Source organism: Homo sapiens, chromosome 22 (assembly GCF_000001405.40).
Source record: "Homo sapiens chromosome 22, GRCh38.p14 Primary Assembly".
NCBI lineage: Eukaryota > Metazoa > Chordata > Mammalia > Primates > Hominidae > Homo > Homo sapiens.
The window spans coordinates 23,084,951-23,096,971 of NC_000022.11; the positions used below are offsets into that span (position 1 = coordinate 23,084,951).

General features: G+C 57.8%; 2 protein-coding genes across 10 annotated transcripts in view, besides 1 other annotated feature; one reads left to right on the forward strand and one right to left on the reverse strand.

Moving 5' to 3' along the window:
- RSPH14 (radial spoke head 14 homolog) overlaps window positions 1–12,021 on the reverse strand; it is a 121,315-nt gene that overhangs the window by 25,536 nt on the left and 83,758 nt on the right. The window lies entirely within an intron of this gene.
- GNAZ (G protein subunit alpha z) overlaps window positions 1–12,021 on the forward strand; it is a 54,514-nt gene that overhangs the window by 14,432 nt on the left and 28,061 nt on the right. For all 3 annotated transcript variants that reach the window (NM_002073.4, XM_047441346.1, XM_017028786.3), the window contains exon 2: window positions 10,297–11,468. In NM_002073.4, the coding sequence (NP_002064.1) occupies window positions 10,746–11,468 (723 nt within the window). In that variant the 5' untranslated portion in view covers window positions 10,297–10,745. The remainder of the gene's footprint in view (window positions 1–10,296; window positions 11,469–12,021) is intronic.
- Window positions 552–1,547: an enhancer, noted in NCBI's record as "H3K27ac-H3K4me1 hESC enhancer chr22:23427689-23428684 (GRCh37/hg19 assembly coordinates)". NCBI's record gives its function as "activates a minimal SCP1, AML or CMV promoter by ChIP-STARR-seq in primed H9 embryonic stem cells {active_cell/tissue: H9 hESC(primed)}" and the evidence as "EXISTENCE:reporter gene assay evidence [ECO:0000049][PMID:30033119]".

The following is a 12,021-nucleotide window of genomic DNA, read 5'->3' on the forward strand; positions in this document are numbered from 1 at the left end:
TGATGCAGAAGTGCTGCTCCAGGAGGCCATACCAACCCCCATCCTGTCCTGGGTCCCTTGGGGCCACCTGCCACTAGGTGGGGAGCCTCATCTGGAGCCCCTGAGTTTTCTGGAGGCAGCTCTCAGGCTGGAACCCCCACCTCAGATAGGTGGACATGGTTTCCAGGCAGCTTCTCCCCAGGCTAAGCCCGTCTGCTGCATCTGCGGGGTCAGCTCTGGGAATCACCCCACCCCTTGATGTCCTCAGCGATTCCTCACTGCTGCCATTCTACATTTTTCTCTGTGTCCTCTTCTCCATGGTGCTGAGCTTTATTTGAAATGGCCTGGCTGCCTTATGTGCTCACCATCTCCCCAGCGAGAATACAAGCTCCTTGACACACAGACTCAGCTTGTTCCCCACCATGTCCCCCTGTCCCCAAGCAGGGCCACACACAGTGGGGCTGGATTCTGGGAGAGCAAAGTATTGATCATAGCAGGTTGAGTGACTGATCAGTTGCCCATACAGATCTGAGGGTGGAAGGCCTCAGGCCTGGGCGCACGTGCTGGGTGATTTAGGAGCAACGGGAGAAGCAGTGGAGGATGCTCTGCTGAGCAGACAAATGGAACTGAGCCAGGGAGAGGGTGACCCACTTTGCTGAGATAAGAGATGGGCTCCAGCCTGAGGACAAGGGGTGCAGTGTTTATACCACAGCCCAACAGCCTCCATCCCTTCAACACCAGTACCAGTGCCTCCGCCCTGGTTGTCCCAGCTTGTCCCAGCAGAGAGGGCCTCTGGCCCTGGTTCCCCATGTACCCCACTTGTGTCCCCAGGAGGCACGGGCAGTGGGGACAGAGCAGGGGGCTGCAACACCATCGAACCCTAGGAGGTGGCCTAAGGCCACAGCTATGAGTGGCACTAACCCTTCCCCAGAGGAAGGTAATCCTTTTTGTTTCTCTCTCAATCCTTCTCCTTCAAGGAGAAAATCCCAGTTTGGTGCCAACGTGGCTCTCACACCCTCCAGCAGGCGCTAATCCCCGCTGTTTAAGCAACAGCCAGTGGCCTTGCCTGGCCCCTCGGCAGGGTCCCGCCCCTGGCTAGTGGCAGAAGCGGTTCCTCTACACTGTTTTGTATTTAGATTACTTCTGTCTACGGCGGGTGACCCTGGCTTTCCACTGAAAGTAGGACTATGAAGTCATTATGAAGTACATTTTTTAAGTAAAAAAGGCAGTCAATTTAAAGAAAAATGCTGAGTAAAAACAGCAAGTGATACCCAGGTGTGGCCAGGTTAGGCAGGCTGCAGTCCCGTGGGGCCCAGTTGGAGGGCTTGGTGGGAGCAGAGGCCTGCAGACTCCCAGCCAGGCCACCCCGGGAAATCACCTCCATCTTTGCGCTTTGATTTCTACAGCCGTAAAGCCGAGGCCACCTCCCAGGCCTGCTTTTAGCATGAGATGACGTGTGTGAGCAAAGCACTCGGCCCAGCAGTGGCAGCAGACGGGGTGGCACGGAGGTGCAGCTGTCCCCTGCGTGTCTCCAGCCACGGGCCTCTGGACCTAGGTTCCCTGGGCACCTTCCTCTCCTCCCAGTGGCCTCAGCCACCCGAGCAGGCACACTATAGTTGAGGAAAGCACAGCAGAGCCACAGCTGGGACCCAGAGTCCCCTCCCTGACCCCACCATGCCCAGCTTCCCTGAGAAAGACCCTCCCCGGGGCCCAGCCCACAGTTGCCCCTGACCTCCCATGAAGATGTGTGGAAATGGCTCCATGAAGAGCCTGTGAGGACACTGGACCATGACCAGACCACTGGAGAGAGGGGAAATGCAGTCATGGGGCTGCAGCATCTGTGGAGCCCACTTCCCACTGGGTGGGGCCAGCATGACAGGATTGAAGGCAGTGGGACAGAAGAACTGGGCAACACAAAGGACACCTGGCTCCTCAGCAACAGAGAGCTGCCACCGAGGAGGCCCCTACAGGTCCAGGCCAGGCCCTGGGAAACCCATGATGGGACACATGGCTGGGGCAGGACAGGGAGTGTGCAGCTTGTCAGCTGGAAGCACATGCGGCTCCGATAAGTCGGGCGTAAAAGGGCAGTGGAAAGTGCTTCCTCATTCGGCGAGGAGGAAACCTGGTAATCTGCAATGGCCACAGGCACAGGCTTTTCCAGACCTTCGGTTTCTAAAATAGTATCATGGTGGGAGCTGATGTAGGGACGGCGGCTCCAGAGTTGGGGGCAGCACCCACTCTTTAAGAGATGATAGAATGAGCATGGTGGCTCACACCTATAACCCCAGCACTTTGGGAGGCTGAGGCAGGAGGATTGCTTGAGCCCAGGAGTTCGAGACCAGTCTGAGCAACATAGTGAGACCCCCATTTCTCCAAAATTAAAAAGATTAGCTGGGCGTGGTGGCGCGTGCCTGCAGTCCCAGCTACTCGAGGCTCAGGTGGGAGGATCGCTTGAGCCCGGGGGGTTGAGGCTGCAGTGAACTGTGATGGTGCACTGCAGCTGGGTGACAGTTAAAATAAGATAAAAATGCCTCAATTGAGCTTATAACCGCCCAAGGGGTTCACCTTGCCCGCTGCCTAGACAGAGCCGATTCTTCAAGACGAGAATTGCAATAGAGAAAGAGTAATTCATGAAGAGCTGGCTGTGCAGGAGACCGGAGTGTTATTATTACTCAAATCAGTCTCCTGGAGCATTCAGGAAGCAAAGTTTTTAAGGATAACTTGGTGGATGGGGGGTAGCCAGTGAGCCAGGAGTGCTGATTGGTCAGAGATGAAATCATAGGGAATTGAAACTGTCTTCTTGTTCAGTCTGTTCCTGCTCAGTCAGTTCCTGGGTGGGGGCCACAAGATCAGATGAGCCAGTTTATTGATCTGGGTGGGGCCAGTTGATCCATCAAGTGCAGGGTCTGCAATATTTCTCAAGCACTGATCTCAAGAGCAGTTTAGGGAGGGTCAGAATCTTTAGCCTTCAGCTGCATGACTCCTAAACCATAATTTCTAATCTTGTGGCTAATGTGAGTCCTACAAAGGCAGTCTAGTGCCCAGGCAAGAAGGAGGTCTGCTTTGGGAGAGGGCTGTTACCGTCTTTGTTTAAACTATAAACTAAGTTTCTCTCCAAGTTAGTTCAGCCTACACCCAGGAATGAACAAGGACAACTTGGAAGTTAGAAGCAAGATGGAGTCAGTTAAATCTCTTTCACTGTCTCAGTCATAATTTTGTAAAGGCGGTTTCAAGCTTGGCCTGCAGGTTCCCATACTCACGCAGCAAGTCAAGTGATCTGAGTTATATGAACCATCTACACGCCCAAAATGTGGGTTCAGGGTACCCCAGTGCGTTTCCTCCTGCTGGTCCCTGCATGCTCTGAGCTGTGGGCTGGCTTGGGGTTGGAGCCTTACCCACTCTGCCCCACATCCTTGTGTGAGGAAGGGCCTGTGGTCACAGGCATCAGTGAGCCTGGAGATCTGTCACTGCGCGGGCCTCCTCCCTCCCCAGACCAGCTGCTGGGTGCCAAGGTGGAGCTGGCAGGTACAGGAGCCGCGGCTGCCTGGATAAAAGGCGTCTCAGCAAACTGGGGTCAGGATGGGGGTGGGGCAGTGCTGAGTCATAGCCCCGCTTGGGGCATGCCAGGCAGCTCAGCCTCCACAGGGGACTCCAGGACAGGGTGAGTGGCAGGTAGGCGCAGGCAGCCCTGGGGTCAGCTCCGGTAGGGTGGAAAGGACTTGTTGGTCTGAAATGGGTTCCATGACTCCTGTTGCCACCCCAAGCCTGGGACAGTGGACACCACTGGTCCCCACATTGAGGCTAGAGAGTCCTGCAGGTTCAGGGTGTGTGGTAGGTATCTGGGGAGGGCTGGGAGCCCATCGGGCATTAGGGGTGTGGCCTTGCTCTCCCTTGCTGGCCCTGTGGCCTGGGCTGCCTGCCACCTCTTGGGGTCCTAGCTTCTGTTACCAGCAAAGGTGGCCATCTGAGTGGCTTCTATTGGGCCTCAGGCATGACTGCCTGTGCCTCTCCCCCAGTCACAGTCTGGGTACAGTTCCGTCTCCTCAACAAGCCTAAACTATCTCCCTGGGGGCAGGGTCTGTGTGTTGAACCATCACTTCGTCTTGGCTCACTCTTTCCGTCGCCCAAGCTCAGCATGGGGCAGGCTTTCCTGGGAGGTGAGGAGGGAGGGAGGCAGGTAGCTAGGGACCTGGAGAGTGAGGGGCTGGACTGCCGTCTCTGAGGAAGTCAGGCACAGTGATGAGGGAGCTGGTCTATAAGCTGATAAGTCTTCCCGCCCCTGGCTTAGCCGGCTTGGGCAGTGAGACCTTCGGTGACCTTGGCTGTGGGCTGTCTTCTTCTGCCTCAGCCGGGGGCACTGACTCTGTGCTGTGCTGGCTGTTGTGGAGGAGGCCTTGAGCAAAGCTTTGGGGACAGCCTGGAGGTTACGGGCAGGGCAGGCTGGCTCCCATGGCCTGGTGTGGTCCTGGCGAGCTCAGGCTATGGTGGGTGTGACCATGGGTATTATGTTGCCCCAGCTCTATGCCTAGCAGCAGGCTGAGCCTCCAGGGATTGTGCCTGGGGAGGGAAGTGGTTCCTAGAGTGGAGGGCATCCAGGATGCAAAGGTCCCAAGAGAGGTGGCAGCACTTTCCCTCCATGACCATGTACCCATCCTGACTCAGGGCTATCACTCAACATCTGTTACAGGAACAGACTTGAGAGGGCCACGTCTGGAAGGAGGGTGATGAGGGCAGGCCGGGCCTGCTGGACGGTGGGTGAGAAGGGAGGGTCTTGAGGGGGATGTCCATGTGTGGGCTGAAGGATCTGTCCCGAAACCACAGGAAGCAAGCGGCCCTCAGCAGAGGGTTCCTGAGTGGGCTCAGGGCTTGGAGATCGTGCCTTAGGAATCTTTGGGTAGGTGAGTCAAGGACCAGGATGGAGCTCCTTAAGAGCCTACAGCCAAGAGATGCTAGTTTCCTGAGGCTGCTGGGGAGGAGGCAGGCAGGTGCAGACTCTGGCCTGAGCACAGCCCACTAGGGCTTCTTGGCCTCTGGCTGCCAGCATGTCGAACCTGGTGCCTGGCCCTATGTCGCACTAAGTCCTAAGCGACCTCCTGGTGAATTTGCCACACCCTTCACGCTGCAAACACTACACATCTGCTGGGGGCGGGGGCCAGGGACTGGATACTAGCTGGTGTTCACTGATACAGTCCACTCATCTGTACTGAGCCCTGGCCATAAGCACAGCAGGGTCCTGTACCACAGGGACAGCTGACAGTCCCCCTTTCCCAGTACCTGCCACTTTCTCCTAATATGTCCCCTCTCCAAGAGCAGCCCCTGCTTCAGCCTACTGGCTGGTCCCTGGAGTTCCCTGATCGTCTCCCTGTTCCCACCCAGCCGCCACTCCATCACCAGGCACTGTGCACCGTACAGCTCACACATCTTGCAGAGCCTCACTGCATCCACTTCCCCCAGCCCTCACCTGTGTTGCTCCCCTTTTATCACCTGGATGTTTGCATCCAGGAGCCTCCTCTGGTCTGGCTTCAGCGCAGCAGCCAGAGGGATGCTGGTCACACAGGGCAGGTCATGGCACTTCTCACCCAAACCCTGGCTGGCTCCTGACTCGCCCTTAAGTGACCTCCTACCCTCTTGGCACCAGCCACATGGCCTCCTTCCTGCCCCTCAGACTGGTCAGGCATGCTCCCACTTCAGGGCCTTTGTGCCGGTGGTTCCCTCATCCCTGATGCCTGCTTGCCTCCCTCCTTCACCACCTGTTCATACTCATCTCTTACCAGGAGGCCAGCCCCACCCACCTTTGCTGACTTGCAGCCCGCATGTGCCACCCCCAACCCTGCCCACCTGGAGCTCCATTTCCACTGTAGCACTGGGCACCTTCTGCCACTTGCTGCTTATTTACTGCCTGTAGTCTGACTCCTGCCCTCCCACCTGAGCAAAAATAGGGAATAGATCTTCATCTGCCTCATTCAGCAGCCCCAGCCCAAGTGCCAGAATCAAAGCCATGGTTTAGCAAGTAAGTGTGGGATGCTGGAGAGCCCCTGACCCATCTCCCTTCTGCCCCAGTCGCCTCAGCCTAGCTCCACACCACAGCTGGTTCCTCCTCTCCAGGGCATCTCTGCTCCCAGGATGCCACATGCAACCACATGCAGATGCCCACATGCACCAGTACACATGCAGCTGCACACACGCACAACCACATGCAGACAGAGGCATGGACCTGTGCATGCACACCCAAAGATGTGTACATGGACCTGCTCACAGACATGTACATGGATCTGCGCGTGCACATGAACAGACACATGCACACACTGGCATACAAGCAACCAGACACAGACACATCCATGCACCTGCACTCTCACAGACACAAACAGGGACCTATGCATACACGCACACATACCGCAATGGACCTGCATACACATAGGCACCTATGCATACACGCACACATACCACAATGGACCTGCATACACACAGGCACCTATGCATACATGCACACGCACCACAATGGATTTGCACACACACAGGGTCCTATGCATACACACACACACCGCAATGGACCTGCACACACACAGGGACCTATGCATACATGCACACACACCGCAATAGACCTACACACACACAGGGAGCTATGCATACATGCACACGCACCGCAGTGGATTTGCACACACACAGGCACCTATGCATACACGCATATGCACCGCAATGGACCTGCATACACACTGGCACCTATGCATACATGCACACACACCACAGTGGACCTGCATACACACACACGCACCGCAATGGACCTGCACACAGGCACCACATACTGCCACAAACATGCAGGTACACACATGGCTTAAAACCTTTCAGTGGCGTCCTGTTTCTCTTCAGTGAAGACCAAGGGCTCAGTTGGACTTCTGGTGAGCCCTGCCCCTTCCTCTTGCCTGGTACCTCTCTCCTCCTCTCCCTCAGTCCAGCCACTCTGACCTTCCTTCAGTTCCCCTTTGTGTTAGGGATGGTTTGTCCCTTTCATCCCTAACACACATCCCCACACACCGCAGGGCCTTACAGCATGTTCCTCCTCTGCCTGGCACACTCTTTTCCTGGCCCATTCCTCTGGTATTTCTAGCCATGCCCAGAGGCACTGTGGTGGGGGGTCCTGGGTGTTGAGCTCTAGTGATCCATCAGTGGTTTCTGGGCCAGGGAACAATGTGGTCATCAACTCTTGGCCTTTGTCTCTTGGCCAACCATCATCAGGTTCCATCCTGGGACTTGGGGAGTCCTAGCATGTCCAGTAAAGCCCGGGTTAGACTCAGAGAGAGGGCTGGCTAGAGCCTTGTGTAAGAGCCAAGAAGTCAAGCCTCAGAATAGGTGGGACTGTCATAAGGTCCCATTTGAACCACAGCCAGGCTCCCAACGCAAGGCTTCCTTACATCCGTGCACAGCCCTGTCCCATGCGTGGTGCCCCTGCACAGGGCGCTCATACCCCCAAACACAACACAGCCCCACAGAGCCGCAGGGAGAATTCTGGGTGGGGCCTTCTGCTTGTTTGGTTCAGGTGATCTGAAAGACGAGGGTCCTCAAGCAGGGGACCTCCCCTTGGTTGTGACTGTTCGTCACTGCCCCATGCAGGTGACAGACTTGGCCCTGATGCATGTGATTGCTACCTGGCCTCAGTTTCCCCTTTCCTTGCACATTGCCCTGTCGTTGCCGGCGCACACTGATCGAAGACTGCATGAGCAGCCCTTAGCTCCAGGCTTCCAGACAACAGCAGTTCAGGGCCCAGGCTGCCAGCCCAGTGTCCCCAACCTGCTCTCCTGATTCCCCAGCCTTGGAGCCAGGGAGCACATACATCCCAAAGCACAAATCACACATCCTTGGACAGAGCAGCTTCTCTGCCCACCACTGGGGACAGAAGGGGCGCCTGGCTGTACCTCAGATTTTCAAACGTGGAATTGAGAAGAACAGTCATGACAACAGAGGACACCTCCCACTGGGTTGGACACTGCCTTCTGAAAGGAGCATGTTGGCTTCCTGCTGGAATGATGGTGCTGGTAGGGAGAACCCTGGGTCCCCAGGCAGTGGGCTGAGGGCTTTGGACACCTTTCCACACCTAAGGGGCTGTCAGGTCGTCAGCAGGGACAAGGGAGCAGCCACAGGGTCTCCATCCTCCATGCGCTCATGGTTCGTGTGCATATTACACATATCATGTACATGTCATCTTTAAGCAGATGTTCTGCCCACTGTGTGCTGGAGTGGGAGGGTCATCTCAAGGCTTCCATTCTCAGATGTAATTTTCAGCCTCACTGGGATTGGGCTGAGTGACTGTTTAATCACTGCCCTCTTGGCAGAGATGTTTCTAGGGCGTTCCCTGGTGCACTTCTCATCGGTGGCTGCCTGGTGAAGCGGGAAAGTTCCTCAGCCTCTCCATTGATTCCTTCCCTCCCTCCCTCCTTCCACCAACCAGTGCTTACTGAACACCCACTGTGCACTGGGCACTGCTCTGTTCCCAGTGGGGAACGAGGCCAGGACGGGCCCTCCTCACCCGCACTCTGGCTGGGGGTAGGGGCGACGGCAGCACACAAGGTCATGTAGGTCACACATTAGCTGAGGGCTGCTATGGAGGAGGAGGACAGAGGGCAAGGTGACGCTCACAGCGACAAGCACAGCAGGGCAGTGACTGCTACTGGCTGTCACTCTCTGAGGACCAGGCTTGTGCTGGACGCTTTACTCTTCACAGATACCTGTGGCCAGTGAGGGACAGGCTCTGAGATGGGAGTAAGTCGCCAGAGGCCACACAACCTGGGAGAGGCAAGCAAGGCATGAAGGATGAGACCACCCTGAGAGTGGTGGGGGTAATATCAGGGTCTGACCAAGGGAAAGAGGCGGCATTAGAGCCTCTGGCTGTCAGAGGCTGGCAGGGCTAGGGAGCAGGTGTGAGAGGCCACCACCACTGCCAGGAGAGACCAGAACCTCTGCCCAGGGAGAGGACAGCCCACCAGGGGCCTGCTTCAAAGCAGGATCGCCAGGACTAGTGGTCAAGGTCTGTGAGGGGCAAGGGACAGTGAGGGGCACGGATGGCTGCTGGGAGGATGAAGTGCCATTTGCTGAGGGTTTAGCAGGTTGAGTTTCAGATGCTGGTCACACCCAGGAGTTGAGGGTGGGGCCTTGGCTGTTGGGGTCTCTCTGCCTCGGGCCTTCCCACCCCAGGGCCTGTCACAGAGTTGATGGGTGGTATTAAAGGGGCGAATGCTGCCTGTGGCAGGATGGGGAGGCTGCGTGGGTCTCCGGACAGGGACATAGGTCAGGGAAGGAGCAAGAGGGGTGCGTGTGAGTTGGGTGGGGCCTGGTGCCACCCTGGGCTCACAGCCGGGGAAGAAGCCTGAGCTTTGAGCTGCCCCTCGTGTGGGGAGGCCTGGCCTAAGCACCCGGCAAAGTCACAGGGGCATCCTAGGGTGTGCCCCTCCCTGCTGGCAGGAAAGGTGGATGGGGAGGCCCTGACTCGCGGGGTTGGTGAAAGATTCTGCCTGAGGCCTCTAGGCCACCCTGCCTTGCCCTGGCCTCGGTGATTACTACTACCCTTGGGAGCCACTGTGACATCTGGTCTCCCAGGTGGATTTCCCCGCAGCACCACGTGCAGCCCCCAGCTCCTTGGTCTCAGCCCAAGCCCCCCTCTACCTCCTTCTGCAGGAGTGAGGCAGCCCCTGCCCACTGTGCTTAGGCACCTCACGGTGCTCCCACAGCCTGAAGCCTCCACCTTGCTCTGGTCCCTGCCTATCTGCTGGCTCCTGGGCTGGCCCATCAGAGTGCCCTCAAGGGAAAGCAGGGGCCAGGTCTCCCTCCTGGTGCTTTTCCTCCCTGTGATCAGAAGTGACCCAGCTCCTGCGGGGGTAATGAGAGTCAGGGAGGCGCTCAGTTATCCCAGGGCTGGGCCGAGGCCTGGCCACCCGTGTAAAACAGGGCAAGGCTGAGCTCTATCAGTGCTGTCTGGGAGAAGGGCCCCAGGGGGCATCACAACAGGGTGACCTTATTGAATCCTAACTGGATGCGGTAGAAGTGAGTCCAGCATGGGGGCTGGGTGGGCAGAGGCCTCGCACACACCCTCCTCTCCCTCATGCACCTGGCTTCAGGTGGACTGTCCAGGCAACAGCAGACATATGTGTTACACCATGGTGTGGGCCCTACAGCGCCCCATGGAGGAGAGGGGGTTGGATGGATTGTTGCCGGCTCATTTTCCAAGGCCAGTCTCTGCTGCTTTGCTTTCAGAAGAGCTCCCTTTCACTGTCCAGCCTGAGGTGGGGCTGCGGGGAGGAGGCTCACGCTTTTCTCTGTGTTTGGCAGGTGAAGGGCTGGATGCACAGTGGGAGCCGGAGGCGGGGGGCTGCAGGGAGCACACCAGCGACCGGCCCTCCAACCCTCCAGCCACTCAGCAACATCGCCACAGCAACCAGCAACCAGACGGCAGCAGCCGAGGCAAACACAAGCGGACGGCTTCCCACCGTCGCCGAGGACAGGGAATGACTACGGCAAATCAGGCCACTTTGCCAACTAGGGAGGTGGAGTGTCACTAGTGGGGAGGGGCGGCCACCGCCCGCTGCACAGAGCGCCATGCCGGCTGGAGAAGAGGCGCTGGGGCAGGGGCTGCAGTGTGGCTCGGCCTCACCCCCCTGCTGGCACTGAGTGCCTCCAGGGCAGCTGGGCTCTTGTCTGCCTGGTCTCAGTGTCCCCTGTGGCAAGAGGGAGAGGTGCCCCATCCCGTGCTCCTTGTCTGGGCCCGCTGCTGCCAGACCATGGGATGTCGGCAAAGCTCAGAGGAAAAAGAAGCAGCCCGGCGGTCCCGGAGAATTGACCGCCACCTGCGCTCAGAGAGCCAGCGGCAACGCCGCGAAATCAAGCTGCTCCTGCTGGGCACCAGCAACTCAGGCAAGAGCACCATCGTCAAACAGATGAAGATCATCCACAGCGGCGGCTTCAACCTGGAGGCCTGCAAGGAGTACAAGCCCCTCATCATCTACAATGCCATCGACTCGCTGACCCGCATCATCCGGGCCCTGGCCGCCCTCAGGATCGACTTCCACAACCCCGACCGCGCCTACGACGCTGTGCAGCTCTTTGCGCTGACGGGCCCCGCTGAGAGCAAGGGCGAGATCACACCCGAGCTGCTGGGTGTCATGCGACGGCTCTGGGCCGACCCAGGGGCACAGGCCTGCTTCAGCCGCTCCAGCGAGTACCACCTGGAGGACAACGCGGCCTACTACCTGAACGACCTGGAGCGCATCGCCGCAGCTGACTATATCCCCACTGTCGAGGACATCCTGCGCTCCCGGGACATGACCACGGGCATTGTGGAGAACAAGTTCACCTTCAAGGAGCTCACCTTCAAGATGGTGGACGTGGGGGGGCAGAGGTCAGAGCGCAAAAAGTGGATCCACTGCTTCGAGGGCGTCACAGCCATCATCTTCTGTGTGGAGCTCAGCGGCTACGACCTGAAACTCTACGAGGATAACCAGACAGTAAGTGGGGCCGGGGGTTTTCCTCTGCTTGTTCCTGCTGTCGTGGGTTCCTGGAAGCAAGAGGACTCGTGAGGTCCAGGACAGTCTGCAGCCAGAAAGGGAACCAGGCGCAGGCCTGGCCCTGCTGCACGATAACTGAGGCAGCTCCAGCAAGGTGGGGGCAGAGGGAACAGGGTGTGGAGTGCAGGTGTCATGTCCCATGCCTGAAGTACTCAGGGTGTGGAGGCCACAGGGCAAGAGAGTGTGAGGCTCCGCCGGGCATCCATGATCAATCCATGTGATAGTTTGGCAAATCCATGAAGCTCCTGCCAGCACCAGTCTCCTACCAGCATATAGGTCCAGGAACAGCAGCCACCCCTGCAACCCCATCTTGAGTCTGCAAATCTGGCAGAGATGGGGTTAAGAGCTGTTTAGAAGGGATAATCCCAGGTCCTGGTGGAAAGGGGACGACGTAAAAGCAGGTGTTGGGATTCTTTCACAGTGGCATGGGCGCAGCCCGAGGGAGACCTGGACCCAGTGTGAAGCGGTGGGGGCTTGAGAGTGGAGTTGCTGG